Here is a 23,004-nt window from a genome sequence, read left to right on the forward strand (position 1 = left end):
ATGGCTCTTATTATTTTTACATACGTTCCATCAATACCTAGTTTATCTAGAGTTTTTAGCCTGAAAGGGTGTTGAATTTTATCGAAGGCCATTTCTGCACATATTGAAACAATCATGTGGTTTTTGTCATTGGTTCTGTTTATGTGATGGATTACGTTTATTGATTTGCGTAAGTGGAACCAGCCTTGCGGATCAGGGATGAAGCCGACTTGATATTGGTGGATAAGCTTTTTGACGTGCTGCTGGATTCGGTTTGCCAGTATTTTATTGAGGATTTTTGCATCGATGTTAATCAGGGATATTGGTCTCAAATTCCCTTTTTTTGTTGTGTCTCTGCGAGGCTTTGGTGTCAGGATGATGCTGGCCTCATAAAATGAGTTAGGGAGGATTCCCTCTTTTTCTATTAAGTGGAATAGTTTCAGAAGGAATGGTACCAGCTCCTCCTTGTACCTCTGATAGAATTCGACTGTGAATCCATCTGGTCCTGGACTTTTTTTGGTTGGTAAGCTATTAATTATTTCCTCAATTTCAGAGCCTGTTATTGGTCTATTCAGAGATTCACCTTCTTCCTGGTTTATTCTGGGGAGGGTGTATGTGTTGAGGAATTTATCCATTTCTTCTAGATTTTCTAGTTTATTTGCATAGAGGTGTTTATAGTATTCTCTGATGGTAGTTTGTCTTTCTGTGGGATCCGTGGTGATATGCCCTTTATCATTTTTTATTGCATCTATTTGATTCTTCTATCTTTTCTTTATTAGTCTTGCTAGCAGTCTATCTATTTTGTTGATCTTTTCAAAAAACCAGCTACCGGATTCATTGATTTTTTGAAGGGGTTTTTGTGTCTCTATTTCCTTCGGGTCTGCTCTGATCTTAGCTATTTCTTGCTTTCTGCTGGCTTTTGAATATGTTTGCTCTTGCTTCTCTAGTTCTTTTAATTGTGATGTTCGGTTGTCAATTTTAGATCTTTCCTGCTTTCTCTTGTGGGCATTTAGTGCTATAAATTTCCCTCTACACACTGCTTTGAATGTGTCCCAGAGATTCTGGTATGTTGTGTCTTTTTTCTCATTGGTTTCAAAGAATGTCTTTATTTCTGTCTTCATTTCGTTATGTACCCAGTAGTCATTCAGGAGCAGGTTGTTCAATTTCCATGTAGTTGAGCGGTTTTGAGTGAGTTTCTTTTATTATTATTATTATGCTTTAAGTTTTAGGGTACATGTGAACAACGTGCAGGTTTGTTACATATGTATACGTGTGCCATGTTGGTGTGCCGCACACATTAACTCGTCTTTTAGCCTTAGGTATACCTCCTAATGCTATCCTATGCAGCCATAAAAAATGATGAGTTCATGTCCTTTGTAGGGACATGGATGAAGCTGGAAACCATCATTCTCAGCAAACTATCACAAGCACAAAAAACCAAACACTGCATGTTCTCGCTCATAGGTGGGAATTGAACAATGAGAACACATGGACACAGGAAAGGGAACATCACACACTGAGTGAGTTTCTTAATCCTGAGTTCTAGTTTGATTGCACTGTGGCCTGAGAGACAGTTTGTTATAATTTCTGTTCTCTTACATTTGCTGAGGTGTGCTTTACTTCCAACTATGTGGTCAATTTTTGGAATAAGTGCAGTGTGGTGCTGAGAAGAATGTATATTCTGTTGATTTTGGATGGTGAGTTCTGTAGATGTCTATTAGGTCCGCTTGGCGCAGAGCTGAGTTCAATTCCTGTATATCCTTGTTAACTTTCTGTCTCATTGATGTGTCTAATGTTGACAGTGGGGTGTTGAAGTCTCCCATTATTATTGTGTGGGAGTCTAAGTCTCTTTGTAGGTCTCTAAGGACTTGCTTTATGAATCTGGGTGCTCCTGTATTGGGTGCATCTATATTTAGGATAGTTAGCTCTTCTTGTTGAATGGATCCCTTTACCATGATGTAATGGCCTTCTTTGTCTCTTTTGATCTTTGTTGGTTTAAAGTCTGTTTTATCCGAGACTAGGATGGCAACTCCTGCCTTTTTGTGTTTTCCATTTGCTTGGAAGATCTTCCTCCATCCCTTTATTTTGAGCCTATGTGTGTCTCTGCATGTGAGATGGGTTTCCTGAATACAGCACACTGATGGGTCTTGACTCTTTATGAAATTTGCCAGTCTGTGTTTTTTAATTGGAGCATTTAGCCCATTTACATTTAAGGTTAATATTGTTATGTGTGAATTTGATCCTGTCATTATGATGTTAGCTGGTTATTTTGCTCTTTAGTTGATGCAGTTTCTTCCTAGTATCGATGGTCCTTCCAATTTGGCATGTTTTTGAAGTGGCTGGTACCAGTTGTTCCTTTCCATGTTTAGTGCTTCCTTCAGGAGCTCTTTTAGGGCAGGCCTGGTGGTGACAAAATCTCTCAGCATTTGCTTGTCTGTAAAGGAATTTATTTCTCCTTCACTTATGAAGCTTAGTTTGGTTGCATATGAAATTCTGGGTCAAAAATTCTTTTCTTAAGAATGTTGAATATAGGCCCCCACTCTCTTCTAGCTTGTAGAGTTTCTGCTGAGAGCTCCGCTGTCAGTCTGATGGGCTTCCCTTTGTGGGTAACCCGACCTTTCTCTCTGGTTGCCCTTAACATTTTTTCCTTCATTTCAACTTTGGCGAATCTGACAATTATGTGTCTTGGAGTCGCTCTTCTCAAGGAGTATCTTTGTGGCATTCTGTGTATTTCCTGAATTTGAATGTTTGCCTGCCTTGCTAGATTGGGGAAGTTCTGCTGGATAATATCCTGAAGAGTGTTTTCCAGCTTGGTTCCATTCTCCCCATCACTTTCAGGTACACCTGTCAGACATAGACTTGGTCTTTTCACATAGTCCCATATTTCTTGGAGGCTTTGTTCATTTCCTCTTATTCTTTTATCTCTGAACTTCTCTTCTCGCTTCATTTCATTCGTTTGATCTTCCCTCACTGATACCCTTTCTTCCAGTTGATGGAATCAGCTACTGAGGCTTGTACATTTGTCACGTGGTTCTCGTGCCATGGTTTTCAGCTCCATCAGGTCCTTCAAGGACTTCTCTGCATTGGTTATTTTAGTTAGCCATTCATCTAATTTTTTTTCAATGTTTTTGACTTCTTTGCCATGGGTTCGAACTTCCTCTTTTAGCTCAGAGTCGTTTGATCATCTGAAGCCTTCATCTCTCAACTCATCAAAGTCCTTCTCCCTCTAGCTTTGTTCCATTGCTGGTGAGGAGCTGCGTTCCTTTGGAGGAGGAGAGGAACTCTGATTTTTAGAGTTTCCCGTTTTTCTGCTCTGTTTTTTCCCCATCTTTGTGGTTTTATCTACCTTTGGTCTTTGATGATGCTGATGTACAGACTGGGTTTTGGTGTGGATGTCCTTTCTGTTTGTTAGTTTTCCTTCTAACAGTCAGGACCCTCAGCTGCAGGTCTGTTGGAGTTTGCTGGAGGTCCACTCCAGAAGCTGTTTGCCTGGGTATCAGCAGCAGAGGCTGCAGAACAGTGGATATTGGTGAACAACAAATGTTGCTGCCCGATCGTTCCTGTGGAAGTTTTGTCTCAGAGGAGTACCTGGCCATGTGAGGTGTCAGTCTGCCCCTGCTGGTGGGTGCCTCCCAGTTAGGCTACTTAGGGGTCACAGACCCACTTGAGGAGTCAGTCTGTCCATTCTCAGATCTCCAGCTGCGTGCTGGGAGAACCACTACTCTCTTCAAAGCTGTCAGACAGGGACATTTAAGTCTACAGAGGATTCTGCTGCCTTTTGTTTGGCAATGCCCTGCCCCCAGAAATGGAGTCTGTGGAGGCAGGCAGGCCTCCTTGAGCTGCAGTGGGCTCCACCCAGTTCCAGCTTCCTGGCTGCTTTGTTTACCTACTCAAGCCTCAACAATGGCAGGCTCCCCTCCCCCAGCCTTGCTGCCGCCTTGCAGTTTGATCTCAGACTGCTGTGCTAGCAATGAGTGAGGCTCCGTGGGCATAGGACCTTTTGAGCCAGACACGGGATATAATCTCCTGGTGTGCCATTTGCTAAGACTGTTGGAAAAGCGCAGTATTAGGGTGGGAGTGACCGGATTTTACAGGTGCCATCTGTCACCCCTTTCTTTGACTAGGAAAGGGAATTCCCTGACTCCTTGCACTTCCCAGGAGAGGCAATGCCTCATGCTGCTTTGGCTCATGCTCGGTGCACTGCACCCACTGTCCTACACCCACTTTCTGACACTCCCCAGTGAGAAGAACCTGGTACCTCAGTTGGAAGTGCAGAAATCACCCGTCTTCTGCACCGCTCAGGCTGGGAGCTGTAGACTGGAGCTGTTCCTATTTGGCCATCTTGGCTCAACCCCCTAGTTAATTTTTGTGTCTTTAATAGAGACAGGGTTTCATCATATTGGCCAGAGTCGTCTTGAACTCCTGACTGAAGTGATCCACCCACCTCAGTCTCTGCAAGTGCTGGGATTACAGATGTGAGCCACTGTGCCTGGTCAATTGCTGGACGTTCATGATACACCTGGAGTATCCACAGTATCACAAGGGCCATTTTTTTCCATAATCCAATTTATTTATATTATTGGTAGTGAGCTAATGTTGATGTCCCCAAGGTAGCAATTTAGTGACTATACCCATGATAAACGTTTCCATGCATCACGTGGTCAACAGCATTTGCTACCAAGTGCCACGTTCCATGCTCAGCAGTGGGAACACAGGATGATGGAGACAAAGTTCCTGACCTTTAGCAGCAATATCGAACAAGTGAGATTGTCAAGAAAGAAGAAATAATTGTAAAACATACCATACCCCTACAATTCCGTAATCATGCTCCTGGATATTTAATGAAGTGAGTAAACCCACACCTGGATGTTTACAGCAACTTACTCATAATCGCCAAAACTTGGAAGCTAGCAAGTTGCCCTTCGGTCAGTGACTGGATAAGCAAACTGATCCATCCAGTCAGTGAACTATTATAAAGCTGTAAAAAGACATGAAAAATTCCTAAATGCACGTTATTGTACAAGTGAAAGAAGGCAATCTGAAAAGACTCATCCTGTTAGACATTCCAGAAAAAGCTTTTGCATTTTTCTAAGGAGACAGTAGAAAGCCCAGTGGATGCAAGGGGTTGGGAGCACAATGGGATGAATGGGAAGAGGACAGAGGAATTTTAGGGAAAGAAAACTACTGTCCATGATGCTCTAATGGTGGATACATGTCATTATCCCTTTGTTAAAATCCATAGAATGTACAAAACCAGCAATGATCCCTCATGTGAACTATGGACATTGGGTGATAATGATGTGTCCCTGTGGCTCATTGGTTGTGATGAATGCTCTGTGCTGGTGTGGGTGCTGATCCTGTGGGGGTGCTGTGTATTGAAGGGGGAAGAAGGTAGATGAGAACTCTGCAGTTTCTGCTTAGTTTTTCTGTGAATCTAAAACTGCTGTAAAGGAAAAAATAGGCTGGGTGTGGTGGCTCACGCCTATAGTCGTAGCATTTTGGGAAGCCGAGGCAGGTGGATCACCTGAGGTCAGGGGTTCCAGACCAGCCTAGCTAAAATGACAAAACCCTGTCTCTACTAAAAAAAATAATAATAATAATACAAAAATTAATCAGGTGTGGTGTTGCATGCCTGTAATCCCAGCTACTCTGGAGGCTGAGACAGGAACATTGCTGGGACCCTGGAGGCAGAAGTTGCAGTGAACAGAGATCGTACCTCTGCACTCCAGCACGGATGACAGAAGGAGACTCCATCTCCAAAATAAATAAATAAATAAACTCAAGGCTGGGTGCGGTGGCTCATGCCTATAAGAGCTCACTCCCAGCAATTTAGGAGGCCGAGGCAGGTGGATCGCTTGAGCCCAGAATTTCAAGACCAGTCTGGGCAACATGTTGAAGCCTGGTCTTCACTAAGAATACAAAAATAAGTCAGGCATGATGGTGCATGCCTGTTGTTCCAGCTACTAGGGGGACTGAGGCAGGGAGATCACCTGAGCCTAGGAGGTCAAGGCTGCAGTAAGCCGTGATCATGCCACTGCACTCCAATCTGGACAACAGAGTGAGACTTTGTCTCCAAATAAAATAAAATAAAATAAAATAAAATAAAATAAAATAAACTCAATATTTTTTAAAACTGTAATGTTTCCTTTCAAAGCTAAAATTGTATTATTCTAAATATATTTTAAAGAAGAAATGATTATTGTTCAGTGTCTTTAAAATTAGTTTTTAAAATCTCATTTGTTTTGACATTTCAAACCAAGTTAAGTATTCTTTTTCTCACCCTCCTTGAGACGGAGTCTTCCTCTTTCACCCAGGCTGGAGTGCAGTGGTGCATTCTTGGCTCACTGCAACCTTTGCCTCGCAGGTTCAAGCGATTCTCTTGCCTCAGCCTCCTGACTATCTGGGATTACAGGCACCTGTCACCACGCCAGGCTAATTTTTTGTATTTTTCGTAGAGACCGGGTTTCATCATGTTGGCCAGGCTGGTCTGGAACTCCTGACCTCGTGATCTGCCCACCTCGGCCTCCCAAAGTGCCAGGAATACAGGCATGAACCACCACACCTGGCCATTAACCATTCTTGAAATATCACGTTGCATTCTTTAAAAGTTCTAATCTTTCATATACATAAATTACAACACAAATATTTATACTCTAATAGTATTCACATTATAGTAAATTTTTTTTCATGCTCTGTCGCCCAGGCTGGAGTGAAGTGGTGCAATCTCGTCTCATTGCAACCCTCACCTCCCGGGTTCAAGTGATTGTCCTGCCTCAGCCTCCTGAATACCTGGGATTACAGGCGAATGCCACCACTCCCAGCAAATTTTGTGTATTTTTAGTAGAGATGGGGTTTCACCATGTTGGCCAGGCTGGTCTCAAAATCCTGAGGCTGCCTTGGCCTCCCAAAGTGGTGGGATTAGAAGTGTGAGACACCATGCCCGGCCATAATAATAAATTTTATTTTATCTTTTTTTTTGAGATGGAGTTTTGCTAGGGTTGCCCAGGCTGGAGTGCAATGGCTCAGTCTGAGCTCACCACAACCTCCACCTCCAGATTCAAATGATTCTCCCGCCTCAGCCTATCGAGTAGCTGCAATTACAGACGTGCGCCACCACGCCTGGCTAATTTTTTGTATTTTAAGTAGAGAAGGGGTTTCTTCATGTTGCTCAGGCTGGTCTCAAACTCCCAACCTCAGGTGATCCACCTGCCTCAGCCTCCCAAAGTGCTGGAATTACAGGCGTGAGCCACTGCACCTGGCTCATAATAGTACATTTTTGAAAACACCATAAAATATAATCCTTGCAACACTCAATTATACCATCTGGTCGGATCTATCAGCAGATGGCACCCGAGACATACGGATTGGAAATTTTGATCTTATTATGAATGAATCCAGTCCAGAAATGCCCACCCTGCCCCCTGCTGGCTCCTGGGGCTCTGCTCTTTGGGGGAATCATGATGAAATTGTGGCAGAGAGTAGAAGTTGAGCCCCATTGCATGCCCTGAGTTCTTGTTGCCTCTCTATTATCAGGAAAAGGAGGTGAGATTGAAAGATGAAAAGTGCTGGGACTTCTGCTGAGAAGAGAAAAAAGAACAAGATGTATTGATCTTACTGTATGCCAGACCCCATGCCAAGCCCTAAACATGAACCATCTCATTGGATCCTACCAAGGTCCCATAAGCTGTTGGACATCATCATCCTCATTTTACAGGAAGCTGAGGCTCTAGGCTAACATCCCTGACAGCAACACCAGCCCCTGAGTACTCAGCAGGATCCTTCACTTGGGTGCCCATTATGCAGAATTCCTCAGCACAGGGAAGGTCACTCATCACCCACAGGCCCTTGATCGTTATCCACCCTTTGATGCTGTCAGATTCCAGAACACGCTGCACTAGTACTAGTCTCTTCCTTCATAGGGAGAGAGGGGAGGTGTTATGAGAAAATCTCTCATCAATCTGACCTAGCTCCCCAAAAAGATGTAACTTTTAAAATGTCAGATGGAAATATTTAAAAAGTGTTACATGCCTGTATAGTTTTAGTATTTTACTTAAAGGGAATGTGGCTGTCTTTACTGGCTACAACCAGTTTAATTCAAGAAGGGCTGCTGGTCATCAGGAGAACAAGCAAGGGTTGATGCTGCCCAGAGTCTCCAGCTAATACACAATATGGACATCCCCTTCCAGGGCAGTGGGAAGAGAGTGGGTCCTTGTGCAGTGAAGCTGACATCCACCAAATAAGGCTTCTGGAAGCATGTGGAGACTCACAGGGAGTGGGCAGGGTCTCAGCATCTGGCTAGCGGTGAAAGACCCTGAGAAGAAGGTGCTGTCCGTGTGGATTGGCTCACTGTTCTTGCCCAGTAATGTTCCAGGCCTTTGGTGTCCACCTAGTGTGTATTAACCCACTGAACAGCCACAGAAACTAACAAGGAGTTAACAGACATCTAAAGAAGTGAAGAACTAGAGGAGGCCAACCCAAGCGTGGTGGTCCACGCCTATACTCCCTGCATTTTGGGAGGCCAAGGCAGGAGAATCACAAGCTCAGGAGTTCCAGATCAGCCTGGGGAAGACAGCGAGGCCTTGTCTCTACTAAAAAGAAGTATCCAGGTGTGGTGGCTCACACAGCTGTAGTCCTAGCTACTCAGGAGGCTGAGGTGGGAGGATCACTTGAACCCAGGAAATTTAGGTTGCAGTGAGGTATGATTGTGCCACTGCACTCTAGCCTGAGTGACAGGAGACCTTTAAAAAACAAAAACAAAAAAAAGCCTGACACAGTGGCTCACACCTGTAACCCCAGCACTTTGGTAGGCCTACTTGCTTGAATCACCCAAAGTCAGGAGTTTGAGACCAGCCTGACCAACATAGTGAGGAAACCCTGTCTCTACTAAACATACACAAATTAGCTGGGCATGGTGGTGCATGCTTGTAATCCCAGCTACTTGGGAGGCTGAGGCAGAAGAATCATTTAAACCCCAGGTGGAGGTTGCAGTCAGCTCAGATGGCACCATTGCACTCTAAACTCCAGCCTGGGCAACAAGAGTGAAACTCTGTCTCCAATAAAAGAATGGGAGGAAACTGATTACAATAACCAAATTTCATTTAAATGCCTTGATTTTCTTGGGCTGCATCTTATTGATTGGACAACTCAGTCAGTGCCTTTTGTTTTTTCCATCAATAACTGAAGATTCCTGAGGCTTAAACTGGAAAACAGGTTACTTAATAATAGAGGGCACCAGACAGATTCTGCTCAGTTTTCCTTTATTTCTGATTGTTTCTTTACAACCATCCATGCAAGAGTAACTCCCTCATGTATTCTCAAGCCTGAACTCCACTCTAGACATTCAGATTCCCATTTTCGACTCTACAGGATACAGGTCCCCAAAGTCCCATCGAATCCATGGCAACATTTCCCCCAAGTCCTGCCCCTGCTTGATCAGCTTTCCTTTCCCACTTTCAGAGCCTATGTGTGAAATGATGGGTTCTGTGCTCCCTTTAGGATGTACCTAAGACCTAGGTTTTAGTTTCCAAGTGTCCAGAAGAAAGCGTTTGACATACCCATCCAAATAGGCAGGCATTCAACAGCAGTATTGATCTGCCTCCAGGTCATAAAATGACCTGTTGCCACAGTCAGGGCAGTTATCAATACAGAAAAAGATCCTCTTGGGGTGCCTTAAGTCCCTCACTCTGTTCATCAGCTCAGCCCTAATTTGAGCAAATCTGTTCCAGCAGAGAGTACCATCAGCACCATAACTCTCCCGCGGGGCAGGATACACCTCCACGCATAAGTTTTTGAGTATGATTGTGTGGCTCAGCAGGTTCTCCAGGGTGGCCATGGAGATGGGATTTCCACAGAAGCTGAAGGCATTGAGCTCAAAGCAGCGGCTCAGGGCAGGCAGGATGGCGTTGACTTGGGAGTCTATGATGCCACAGTCATCTAAATCCAAGTACTCAAGGGTGGCTGCAACTTTTTCTAGGAGAATTTGGAGAGGCACAAGACTGTAATTGGTCAGTCTGATGCCACTCAGGTCCAGGGTCTTTAGTTGACTGATACTCGGGCACTGGGATAGATGCTTCAAGTCTGATTCCAAAAGCACACAGTTAGTTATTGTGAGGACCTTTAACGAGGTCTTCAGACAGCTGGGGAGAGAGAGCAAGAAGTTAATTCTGGGGAATCATAGGGGTGAGTGGAGGGTGGTGGGGAATGGCTTCAAGGTAATGGATGGAGACCATTTTGCCCAAGTCCAGGGTCATTCTGATGGCCTGATGGTCAACACTTAGAATGATGTGTGATGAAGAGCTTTGCCACCGAGGTCAATTCCACCTTAGAGCCGGCCCAGTAACTCACACCTGTAATCCCAGAACTTTGGGAGGCTGAGACTGGTGGATTCCTTGAGATCAGGAGTTTGAGACCAGCCTGCTGAACATGGCAAAACCTCCTCTCTACTAAAAATCCAAAAATTAGCCAGGTGTGGTGGGGGGAGCCTGCAATTCCAGCTACTTGGGAAGCTGAGGCAGAAGAATCGTTTGAACCCAGGAGGTGTAGGTTGCAGTGAGCAGAGATCATGCCACTACACTCCAGCCTGGGTGACAGAGAGAGACTCTGTATTAAAAAAAAAGAAGGAAAAAAAATAATTCCATTTGAGGCTGAGTCATTTCACCATCATTTATAGGAATGGATCAAGTTCACAGAATCCCTAAAGCTCCCTTTCCTCATCTGTCAGGCAGAAAACCACATCCCTGGGCCACAGAAGCCCAGTGGAGATTCAGGCATAAAGGACAAACCCAGACAGGATCCTGCAACATCAGCTGGGGTGGGCGGGCTGTAGGCGTCCCTGCCATGCCTGTATCATCAGCAAACCATCTATCACTTTCACCATTCTTTGTGCCTGCTCCCTGACCCTCTGTTTCAGAATCATGCATTGCCTAGGTAATTAATTTACCTGGAGCTCAAAACACTTTTACAACAGGGAATTAGAGATGGGATCATTCATGTTCACCAAACTATGGGGCACAAAGCTGATTTTCTGACATGTGCAGGTTTGCTGAGCATTCCCCTCTTCAGTGCCCACTTCACTTCCCTACTTTACATCATCTGCTTAAAAATTATCTTGTTGGCTGGGCGTGGTAGCTCTCGCCTATAATCCCAGCACTTTGGGAGTCCAAGGTGGGCGGATCACCTGAAGTCAGGAGTTGGAGAATATCCTGGCCAACATGGTGAAACCCTGTCTCTACTTAAAATATAAAAATTAGCCAGGTGTGCTGACTCATGCCTGTAATCCCAGGCACTCAAGAGGCTGAGGCAGGAGAATCGCTTGAACCTGGGAGGCAGAAGTTGCTGCGAGCTGAGATGTCACAAGTGCACTTTACCCTGGATGATCAAAGTGAAAATTCATCTCAGAAAAAAAAAAAGTTATCTTGTTTGTTTTTACTTTTATTTCTTCACTTCTGACAGGGGTCTTGGGATGTTACCCAGACTGGTCTTAAACTCCTAGGCTCAAGCTATCCTCTTGCCTCAGACTCCCAAAGTGATAGGATTACAGGCATGAGCCACCGCCCCTGGCCTATTTTTCATCATCTTAACTTAGACACACGTCCTCAGGAAGAATTCAGAAAGGCACCCTCACTAGATCTGAACCCCCCAGTAGCTAGCTTCCTAGTATGACAACCTCTCTATAGCATCTCCCCTAGCTGATCCCTCTGCCTCTATTGGGATGGTTGCATGATACCCATTTCAGGACAGGGCCGCCAACAGGACAATGTATGGACATTCTAGTGTCCCCTTCACTGTTACATCCTCATAGGCTGGCTCACAGTAGATGCCCACTAGCGTTTAGTGAAACAGGCTCTGCTGTGGTCTGCAGAGAAAGCTCACCACCCTCCCTCACCTGAGCAGCTGGTCCAGGTGGCCTTCGAGGAAAGAAACAGAGTTCATATAAAGCTTTTGGAGGCAGTGCAGCTTGAGGAACTGAGTGGTGAACTGGGTAACAATCTCCTTCTTCTGCTCTGGGGAAACGTAGCGAGAGACATCCATGTGAGAGAGAACGAGCTTCTGAAGATTCCTCATGTGGCCCAGGTATGGGGTAAACTGTGTCAGGATGGGCAGTACCCACTTGCAATTCACTTCCACCTCCTGGATACAGTCTAGGTTCACCATTTTCAGGATGCTTCTGATATTGCGGAAGGGCATTCCCAAAATTTTCAGCTTCTTACAGCACAGGTGTAGTAAATCTTTCCTCTGCTTGACCCATAGAAGGAGGTAGGTGAGGTATTCATCCAGAGTCCTGTTCTTGAGCCAAAGTTCTACGAACACAGTCAAGGGCTGCTGTCCTCTCATCCTTGGACAGTCCTGCACTGGTGTTTTGTTCCTCTTGGCATTGAGGAAGGACCCACGGGCCATAGCTTCAGACCAAACCATCCAGAAGTTCTCACAGACATCCTGTAAATCCAGCACTTGAAGTTTCCACCTCCTGTGGGAAAATAGAGGTGAGACTGAGAATTTAAGAACTCATTTCTGAATTTAAACTCCACATCCTGGATAGCAGCTCCTCCCCTCCCTGCTTCTTGTCCCTCTCTCTGACTTTTCTTCACTCTGTTCTCCCCTTGGATCCTACCCACTTCCACATTTTTTTGTTTTTTTTTTTGAGACCAAGTCTCCCTCTGTCGCCCAGGCTAGAGTGCAGTGGTGTGATGTCACCTCACTGCAACCTCTGCTTCCTGGGTTCAAATGATTCTCCTGCCTCAACCTCACAAGTAGCTGGGATTACAGGAGCCCACCACCATGCCCAGCTAATTTTAGTATTTTTAGTAGAGTTGGGGTTTACCATGTTGGACAGGCTGGCCTCCAACTCTTGACCTCAGCCTCCCAATGTGCTGGGATTACATTGTGAGCCACCGTGCCCGGCCCAGTTCTCACTTTTCATGGTGCCTTTCAGTGCCATTAGAGGAGAGGTTCCTGTTACCTCCATGGACCTTGCGTGGTGAGCAGTGCTTTCCCTGAGGAGCTGGTGAATGGCCAAGTCCTCTCGGCTTCCTCACCACCACCATCCCCCTTGGGCCTCCTCACTTCACATGACCCAGCTGTTCCTTCAGTTGGACACCTGGGCCCTCCCCACCAGCCCACCTGGGCCACCTCACCTGGGACAAACCCCTTGGGTAAGCAGTGCATCAAGCCCATCGAGCACAGCTTGGAAGGCCTCCAGACAAGGCATCTTTATCAGAGGCCTCAGAGGGAGGCGGCGGAAGGGCCAGGCCTGCACCATCAGCTTCAGGGCCTCACAGCATCTCCTGCTGAAGGCCTCCATGAACAGTGGGGGGAAAAGTTCTGTGGGCAGCTCCTCCAGGGTGGACATGGCCAAGGCTTGGTCCCTCAGCAGGCTCCGCCCCGCAAGCTCCAGGAGTCTGGGTGGAGTCCGGATGCTCATCTTCATGAATCTGCAGGGAAAACTTCCAGAGGACAAACCCAGAGAAAAGGCATCACTCTCAGGCCAAGCCCATGCAATCTCATCTTCTCCTATGGCCAAACTCACTGCTCTGGCAATGGTGAAACAGCCCTCAGTTTACTCCAATTCTGCCCTGTACTCAGTGGCCATTAAGCCAGCATTGTGCCTCTGCTGCATCAGCATGAGCGTCTCCGAAGCAGTGAGGAAGCAGGGTCACCACGAGCCCTTCCTTTCTATCCAGTGCTCCATCCAGTGACTAGTGAGTGTGGAGGAACCTGAAAGTGAACCCCTCCTACCATTGGGGGAAATTACTGATTACTCAAGGTTCTAAAACAATGGGAATGGGAGTGTCACAAGCCTACATGCCCACATTTTCAGTTCCTACAAATAAGTTTGTTGGGAACATTCATGGGACATCCCTAGAACAGGTTCTATTTGTTTTCTTTTCATTATTTAAGCTTGCTTTCTCTTTCTCTCTCTTTCTTCTTTCCTTCTTTCCCTCTCTCCCTCCCTTCTTTCTTTCTTTCCCCCTCTCTCTCCCTTCTTTCTTTCTTGTCTTCTTTCCCTGCATCCCTTCTCTCATTCTCTCTCTCTTTCTCTCTCTCCCTCTCTCACTCTTTCTGACAGGGTCTTGCTCTGTCACCCAGCCTGGAGTGTAGTGGTGGGATCTCAGCTCAGTGCAGCCTTGACCTCCCAGCTCAAAGGATTCTTCCCCCTCAGCCTCCCAAGTAGCTGGGACCACAGTTATGCATCACCACACCCAGCTCATCTTTTATGTTTTGACTTTTTGTAAAGACAGTGGATTTCGCTATGTTGTCCAAGCTGGTCTTGAACTCCTAGTCTCAAGCAATCTACCCCTCTTGGCCTCCCAACATACTGGGATTATAGGTGTGAGCCTCTGCCCCAGCCTCGTTATTGAAAATTTCAGTGAGAAGCTTTGAAAGCTATGTGACACTGTTATGCATCATTCTCAAGATAGATGTTTCCAATGCACACCTCTTACACATATTCAAACTGAACCACTTTGGCTGGGTGCAGTGACTCACACCTGTAATCTGAGCATTTTGTGAGGCCGAGGCAGGTGGATCATCTGAGATCAGGAGTTCAAGACGAGCCTGGCCAACATGGTAAAACCCTGCCTCTACTAAGACAGCAAAAATTAGCCAGGTGCAGTGGTCTGCGCCTGTAGTCCAAGCTACTAGGGAGGCTGAGGTAGGAGGATCACTTGAACCCAGGAGGCAGAAGTTGCAGTGAGCTGACATTATACTACTCCACTCCAGCCTGGGGAATAGGCTAGATTGAACTGAGAGACAGAGAGAGCTACATTTGACTAGACTTCTTAATCTCTACCCAGTTAATCCTTATTGGATTTTTGGCTTTCTTAAAGAATAACTGATCGAATTAGATATTAATCCATCAAAATGAAAGATTTAGGGATAGGGTGAAAGTCCAGGACTCATTCACCGATTCCCTTCACAAACATGGACTTCCACTAATATGTGTCCTTCAAAGTCCTGAGTGTGAGACAGGGAAGGGTTGAATCTCTTCCTGATATTAGACAGAAAGAAAGAAAACTTGAAAGTATCTTTGTTGAGGGATCCTTGGCCACATCAAATTTATCAAAATATTTCAGAGTTAAAACAGTTTTCAAAGACAGAGATGACAGTCCCTAAGAAAACACAATAGAAATCTTCATGTATCCGATGATCACCTGGGTCATATAATTTTTTTTGGTGCTGAGGGAGCTGAGTCTCACTTCGTCGCCCAGGCTGGAGTGCAGTGGCACCATCTTGGCTCACTGTTACCTCCAAGATTGCCTCCAAGATTCAAGCAATTCGCATGCTTCAGCCTTCCACGTAGCTGGGACTACAGGCAGGCACCCCCCACAGCCATGTCTCCATTTGGGTGGAAGAGGATGTGATTGGTTTAAAATTAAGGTCAAAGATCCTTTTTGATTGATTTTGTTTTTGTTTTTGGACAGAGTGTCTCTCTTTTGCCCAGGCTGGAGTACAGCAGTGGTGTGAGCATAGCTCACTGCAGCCTCAATCTTCTGGACTCAAGTGATTCTCCCACACCAGCCACCCAAATAGCTGGGACTACAGATGCATGGTGACTCACAGCTGTAATCCCAGCACTTTGGGAGGCCAAGGCAGGTGGATCACTTGAGGTCAGGTGTTCGAGACCAACCTGGCCAGCGTGGTGAAACCCCACCTCTACTAAAAATACAAAAATTAGCCAGGCATGGTTTCAGATGTCTGTGACACCAGCTTCTGAGGATGGAGACTGAGGCATGAGAATTGCTTGAACCCAGGAGTTAAAGGTTGCAGGGAGTTGAGATCGTGCCACTGCACTCCAGTCTGGGCAACACAGTGAGACTCCATCTCCACCCTCAAAAAAAACGTTGTGTAGAGGAGGGTTTTTGTCATGTTGCCCAGGTTGGTCTCAAACCCCTGGGCTGAAATGATCCTCCCACTTTGGCCTCCCAAAGTGTTGGGGTTAAAGGCGTGAGTCACTGCTCCCTTCAAGAATTTTAAAATGGCATCAACCAAAGCACAATCAACTTTTTTGAAATAAAGACAGAACTGCATTTAGAGGAAAAAATTCAAAGCTTCAAATTGTTCATATATATATATAAAAAAGGACAGGATATAGCTCTGTGCCATCGTAGGCTGCACTGTCACCATCCCAGACTGACTGACTCTAGGTCAGATGGGAGTGTCCTTACAGAAATTAGTGACTTACCAGATCTGGATGTAGTTTAGAAGGTGCTCAGACCTCAGGAAGAACCAGGCAGGAACTCCAGGCTTGAAGACTTTGGGTCTCTCCTGTGGGTCTTTAGAAGCTTTTATTGACCTTTCTAATCACAACTCCCACCCACGCCCTTCCACGTGTGCACTGCTAGCTTCCAATCAAAAAGCCATATCTGATTGCATTTCTGAAGCTCCACCCAGTTAATCCTGATTGGGTTTTTGGCTCTCCCCAGATTAATGGATTGAGTCAGATATCCATTCATATCACATATCTATATTCAGTTCGTGAAGCAAGAAATTGACAGTGTTAGGGATAAGGTAGAAGTCAAGAATACATTGATTCACTGGTGGGCAAGGTGGCTCATACCTGTAATTCCAGCACTTTGGAAGGACAAGGTGAGTAGATCACCTGATGTCAGGGGTTCAAGACCAGTCAGGTCAAAAAGGTGAAACCCCGTCTCCACAAAAATACAAAAATACAAAAATTAGCCCGGCATGATGGCAGGTGCCTGAAACACAGCGACTCAGGAGGCTGAGGCAGGAGAATTGCTTGAACCCAGGAGGCAATGGTTGCAGTGAGCCAGAATTGTGCCACTGCACTCCAGTCTGGGTGACAGAGGGAGATTCTGTCAAAAAATAAAAAAATCATTCATTCATGAACTCCACAAACACTGATTTTTTTTTATTAATATGTGAACTTCATAGTCTTGAGTGTGAGGCAGGGAAGGATTTGATCTGTTTACGACATTAGACAGAAAAATAAAATCTGAAAGTAGTGTTGTTAGGAGATCTTTGGCCACATCAAAATATAAAAATGCTTTCTACTTTAAAACTTTTTAAAAACAGAGGAGTCGTCCCTACGAAATCAGAATAAAAATCTCAATGTACTGAATGGTCTTTGGGATTTTGTATAACCTAAGGTAGCAGATTACATGCTCGTTCTGGTGGAGGAGAGGTGCCACTGAGGGCGTGAGTGGTCTCAGGGCTTAGGTTAAGGCTTCTTTGGAAGAAATTGAAACCACATCTCTAAAATTTATAAATTTAATCAGTGAAGAAGGGAGGGAGAGAAACAAAAATAAACCAAGCTTGCAACACATTCAGCATTCATCAGGAGGTCTTCTTGCTCTCTGACCTGGTTCCTCATGGTTGCCGCAACCTACTGTTCCAAAATCATATAGACCTTAGATTACAGTTCCCCTTAACTTCCCTGCAGACAACCATTTAAGCATTGTAAAACATTAACTTTTTCATCTGAGATATTCTTTCAGGTTCTGCATGTCAGTGAAACTGCTGATGCCAGCTGATCTGAAGGGCCATGCAATGCACCAACTCACCAAAGAATGCAGTTTCTACATCCTGTTGACTTCTTCCCTCTTACCGCTACCCCAACTTTCTGGCCCCTTGCTATCCAGGATCCACTGGAAACCTTCAGTACTCCTTGGGGAGATGAATTTGAGGATCTCCTCCTAGCTTCTCATTCAGCCACCTTGTGATCATTAAACTCTCTGCTGCAAACCCTGCTGTCTCAGAATATTGCTAAACTACTGTGCAGCAGGCATAGGAACCTGATGGTCCTTTAATAAAGTCATGTCAAAATTACAAATGGAAGTGAGGGTGGAGCTGGTCAGGGTTGAGCTGGGTTTTTAATGGGAACCTGGGAGTGAAGCAAGACTTGCAGGTCACATTGGGCAGGCTTCCAAATTCACCACCTATGGAAGGTCTTTCGCTTGGCTTACATCCTGTCCCTGAGTAAAGAGTCTGATCATGAGTTCATGAGTGCTTCAAACTCTACAAGTATTGATGAAGGCTTCCACCCACTGACAGTGAGAAGGCACTGATTTGATGCTGATCATGAAGTTCTGCTGGTTGTCTTGCAAGGAATATGTTTTATTCTTTTATCTTGTCATCTAAAGCCAATGATTGTAACCTCTGTTTGTCCCTTCCAATGGAAAAAACAAAAACAAAAAGTCAACTCTATTTGAGCCTTGTCAGGTCTATAAAACAAAAGAAAATTTAAAAAAATAATTGATAGGAGGAGTCCCATTCCCAGCCTGGGCAATAGAGTGAGACTCCATCTCAAAAGGAAAAAAAAAAAAAAAGGCCGGGCACGGTGGTGGCTCACACCTCTAATCCCAGCACTTCAGGAGGCCAAGGCAGGTAGATCACGATGCCAAAAAATTGAGACCATCCTAGCCGACATGGTGAAACCCTGTCTCTGCTAAAAATACAAAAATTAGCTGAGCATGGTGGCGCCCACCCATAGTACTAGCTACTCGAGAGACTGAGGCATGAGAGTCGCTTGAACTCAGGAGGAGGAGGTTGCAGTCAGCCAAGATTTCACCACTGCACTCCAACTTGGTGACAGAGCGAGACTCCGTCTCAAAACAAACAAACACAAACGAACAAACAAACAAAGAAAAAAGCTGGAAAAATAAATTCTGAAAGAATTTCCATCTCTATGAATTCATCTTCAGAAGTGATAGCATTTCCTGCTTGGCATTTTTTGCCTACATTTTTGGCATAAGATCTAACAACAAAAAGTATGAGCCCAGGTTTGTGTAATGGAATATCTTAAACATCAATAGGAGGAGTCAATAGTTCTGATGCCACACACACACACGTATGGTCTTCTCCATCATCAGAAAATGGCAACAAAGTGGTAGAGTTATGCAGAGTGTAGCATTTGAAATGGAGATTTGAAGGTGACAAGGAAAGGATTTTGTAAGACATTAGTGTACAAGTTGAGCAATGTTGGTTCCTGTCACAATATTTTTATTGATTTATTTATTTTATTCATTTATTTTTTGAGATGGAGTCTCGCTCCGTCACCAGGCTGGAATGCAGTGGCACGATCTCAGCTCACTTCGACCTCTGCCTCCCCGGTTCAAGCAATTTTCCTGCCTTAGCCTCCTAAATAGCCGGGACTACAGGTGCATGCCACTACACCTGGCTAATTTTTTGTATTTTTAGTAAAGACGGGGTTTCACCATGTTAACTAGGATGGTCTCAATCTCCTGACTTCGTGGTCTGCCCGCCTCGGCCTCCCAAAGTGCTGGGATTACAGGCCTCAGCCACCATGCCTGGTCGGTTCACATCAAAATTTAAGAGGTATTCAATTGCATATGAAATTTGTAGGCAAAGTTTATTTCTTTTTTCTTTAAAGCATTAATTAATTTATTTATTTATAATGTATTTATTTATTAATTTTTTTTTGAGATGGAGTTTCACTCTTGCTTTCCAGGCTGGAGTGCAATGGTGCGATCTCGCCTCACTGCAACCTCTGCCTCCCGGTTCAAGTGATTCTCCTGCCTCAGTCTCCCAGTTAGCTGGAATTACAGGCACAGGCCACCACACACAACTAGTTTTTGTATTTTTAGTAGAGACAGAGTTTCACCATGTTGCCCAGGCTGGTCTGGAACTCCTGACCACAGGTGATGCACCCACCTCGGCCTCTGAAAGTGCTGAGATTACAGGCGTGAACCACCGTGCCCGGCCTAAACTCATCACTTTTAATACTTTCTACATCACATGAGGAAGAAGAGCAGAAACACTTGAGTACTTCATGAAGGTCAAGGTTGGTATGAGTTTGGGTTCTAATATGATCAATTTCTGCTTCTAGGGAACCAAGCAGTTCAGGTTAAGGAAGGTCAGGAAGCTATTTTAACTATAAAGCATTTTTAAAATATTGATGTGGCCAAAGATCTCCCAACAACACTATTCTCAGGTTTTATTTTTCTGTCTAATGTCCAGAACAGATCAACCCCTTCCCTGCCTCACACCCAGGGCTATGAAGGTGACATATCAGTAAAATTCCATCAGTGCTTGTGGAGTTCGTGAATGAAGGCATTCTGTTGTTGTTGTTGTTGTTGTTGTTGTTGTTGACAGAGTCTCCCTCTGTCACCCAGTCTGGAGGGCAGTGTGCAATCTCGGTTCACTGCAACCTCAGCCTCCTGGGTTCAAGCAATTCTCCCACCTCAGCCTCCCAAGTATCCGGATTACAGGCAGCCGCCATCATGCCCGGCTAATTTTGTATTTTTGTAGAGACAGGGTTTCACCATATTGGTCAAGCTTGTCTTGAACTCCTGACCTCAGGTGATCCGCCTGTCTTGGCCTCCCAAAGTGCTGGGATTACAGGCATGAGCCAACTCAGCTGGCCTTAAATGAATGAATTCTTGATTTCCACTCTATCCCTAATGCTGTCAATTTCTTGATTCATGAAATGAATATGGGTATGTGATATGAATGGATATTTGGTTCAATCCATTAATCTGGGGAAAGCCAAAAACCCAATCAGGATTAGCTGGGTGGAACTTCAGAAATGCAATGAGATATTGCTTTTTGATTGGAAGCTAGCAGTGCATACATGGAAGGGCGTGGGTGGGAGTTGTGATTAGAAAGGTCAATAAAAGCTTCTAAAGACCCACAGGAGAGACCCAAAGTCTTCAAGCCTGGAGTTCCTGCTTGGTTCTTCCTGAGGTCTGAACACCCTGCAAACTGAGCCCAGATCTGGTAAGTCACTAATTTCTGTAAGGACACTCCCATGGGACCTACAGTCAGCCGATGTAGCATGGTGACAGTGCAGCCTACGACAGAGCAGAGCTATATCCTGTCTTTTTTTTCTTTTTTTCATATGAACACTTTGAAGCTTTGATTTTTTTTTCTAAATGCAGTTTTGTCTTTATTTCAAAAATGTTGATTGTGCTTTTCTTTACGTCATTTCAGAATTCTTGTTGGGAGCCATTTTGTGAAGAGACGAAGACTGAGCTGGTTTGGCTGCATTTCTGGCCTCGAGCCGCAGTCAGCTTCTCCACGTAGAACCCGGCAGTAGGAGACTTAGAATCGAATCTCTTCTCCCTCCCGCCTCCTGTTTTTGGCTTTTTGAGAAACCTTATCATCCAACACAATGGCCAGCAACGTTACCAACAAGATGGATCCTCACTCCATGAACTCCCGTGTGTTCATTGGGAATCTCAACACTCTTGTTGTCAAGAAATCGGATGTGGAGGCGATCTTTTCCAAGTATGGCAAAATTGCGGGCTGCTCTGTTCATAAGGGCTTTGCCTTCGTTCAATATGATAAGGAGAAAAATGCCCGGGCTGCTGTAGCAGGAGAGGATGGCAGAATGATTGCTAGCCAGGTTGTAGATATTAACCTGGCTGCAGAGCCAAAAGTGAACCGAGGAAACGCAGGTGTGAAACGATCAGCAGCAGAGATGTACGGCTCCTCTTTTGACTTGGACTATAACTTGCAACGGGATTATTATGGTGGGATGTACAGTTTCCCAGCACGTGTACCTCCTCCTCCTCCCATTGCTCTGGCTGTAGTGCCCTCGAAACGCCAGCGCATATCAGGAAACACCTCACGAAGGGGCAAAAGTGGCTTCAATTCTAAGAGTGGAAAGCGGGGATCTTCCAAGTCTGGAAAGCTGAAAGGAGATGACCTTCAGGCCATTAAGCAGGAGTTGACCCAGATAAAACAGAAAGTGGATTCTCTCCTGGAAAACCTGGAAAAAATTGAAAAGGAACATTGCAAGCAAGGAGTAGAGGTAAAGAATGCTAAGTCTGAAGAGGAGCAGACCAGCAGCTCCTCGAAGAAGGATAAGACTCACGTGAAGATGGAGTCTGAGGGGGGTGCAGATGACTCTGTTGAGGAGGGGGACCTACTGTGTGATGATGATAATGAAGATCAGGGGGACAACCAGCTGGAGTTGATCAAGGATGATGAAAAAGGGGCTGAGGAAGGAGAGGATGACAGAGACAGGGCGAATGGCCAGGATGACTCTTAAGCACATAGTGGGGTTGAGAAATCTTATCCCATTGTTTCTTTACCTAGGTGCTTGTCTAACATCAAATTTTTCACCAGATCCTCTCCCTTAGCATCTTCAGCACATGCTTACTGTTCTCCCCATCCTTGTCCTTCCCACATTCATTAATTCATATTGCCCTGCACCTAGTTCCATTTTCACTTCCCTTGATGCTCCTAGAAGTTTTCTTAAGTCTTACCCTGCAATTTTTGCTTTTAATTTAGATACCTCCTTATGACTTAACAGTAAAAAGGATGTATGGTTTTTATCAACTGTCTCCAAAATAATCTCTTGTTATGCAGGGAATACAGTTCTTTTCATTTATACATAAGTTCAATAGTTGCTTCCCTAACTGCAAAGGCAATCTCATTGAGTTGAGTAGCTCCTGAAAGCAGCTTGGAGTTAGAAGTATGTGTGTTACACCCCATGTCAGTGTGCTGTGTGGGGCAGTTCAACAAAAATCTAACAATGTATTTTTGTGAATGAGAGTTGGCATGTCAAATGCATCCTCAGAAAAATAATTAGTGTTATACTCTTAAAATGTGTTTTCTAAAGTTGATACTGTGGGTTATTTTTGTGAACAGCTCCATGTTTGGGACCTTTTTTCCTCAAAATAAACAAGTCCTTATTAAACCAGGAATTTAAAGAAAAAAATTCTTGGTGGGAGCAGTGACTCATGCCTACAATTCCAACACTTTGGGAGGCCAAGGCAGGAGGATCATTTGAGCCCAGGGGCTCGAGACCAACCTGGGCAACATGGCAAAACCCTATCTCTACAAAACATTTGTTTTGAGGGGTGGGGATGGTATCTGGCTCTGTTACCCAGGCTGGAGTGCAGTGGCATGATCTCAACTCACTCCAACCTCTGCCTCCCAGGCTCAAGCGATTCTCATGCCTCAGCCTCCTGAGTAGCTGCGATTATAGCCACCCGCCACCATGCCTGGCTAATTTTTATATTTTTGGTAGAAACAGGGTTTCACCATGTTGGCCAGGCTGGTCTTGAACTCCTAACCTCAAGTGATCCACCTGCCTTG

At 45.0% G+C, this 23,004-nt stretch overlaps 2 protein-coding genes across 2 annotated transcripts; one reads left to right on the forward strand and one right to left on the reverse strand.

Annotated features, from left to right (window-relative positions):
* Positions 1 to 9,221: 9,221 nt before the first annotated feature.
* On the reverse strand, positions 9,222 to 16,321 carry PRAMEF27 (PRAME family member 27). Its single transcript, NM_001300891.2, has 4 exons — positions 16,160 to 16,321; positions 13,113 to 13,421; positions 11,864 to 12,445; positions 9,222 to 10,115 (listed from the first exon to the last, which is right to left on the reverse strand). Exons 2-4 carry the CDS (start codon positions 13,403 to 13,405, stop codon positions 9,554 to 9,556), a joined length of 1,437 nt encoding a protein of 478 aa, NP_001287820.1. The 5' UTR covers positions 13,406 to 13,421; positions 16,160 to 16,321; the 3' UTR covers positions 9,222 to 9,553.
* Positions 16,322 to 20,514: 4,193 nt separating this feature from the next.
* HNRNPCL3 (heterogeneous nuclear ribonucleoprotein C like 3) lies at positions 20,515 to 22,624 on the forward strand. The gene is made up of 2 exons (NM_001382358.1): positions 20,515 to 20,676; positions 20,890 to 22,624. Exon 2 carries the CDS (start codon positions 21,071 to 21,073, stop codon positions 21,950 to 21,952), a length of 882 nt encoding a protein of 293 aa, NP_001369287.1. The 5' UTR covers positions 20,515 to 20,676; positions 20,890 to 21,070; the 3' UTR covers positions 21,953 to 22,624.
* Positions 22,625 to 23,004: the final 380 nt, after the last annotated feature.

Source organism: Homo sapiens, chromosome 1 (genome assembly GCF_000001405.40).
Source record: "Homo sapiens chromosome 1, GRCh38.p14 Primary Assembly".
Classification (NCBI taxonomy): domain Eukaryota; kingdom Metazoa; phylum Chordata; class Mammalia; order Primates; family Hominidae; genus Homo; species Homo sapiens.

Excerpts from the sequence above, each read along its gene's own strand:
- PRAMEF27 (NM_001300891.2), bottom strand. The coding sequence starts at position 13,405 with ATGAAGATGAGCATCCGGACTCCACCCAGACTCCTGGAGCTTGCGGGG. Across the intron at positions 12,446-13,112 it reads ACCCAAGGGGTTTGTCCCAG|GAGGTGGAAACTTCAAGTGC; the intron begins GTGAGGTGGCCC and ends ATTTTCCCACAG. Across the intron at positions 10,116-11,863 it reads CACCTGGACCAGCTGCTCAG|CTGTCTGAAGACCTCGTTAA; the intron begins GTGAGGGAGGGT and ends CTCTCTCCCCAG.
- HNRNPCL3 (NM_001382358.1), top strand. The coding sequence starts at position 21,071 with ATGGCCAGCAACGTTACCAACAAGATGGATCCTCACTCCATGAACTCC.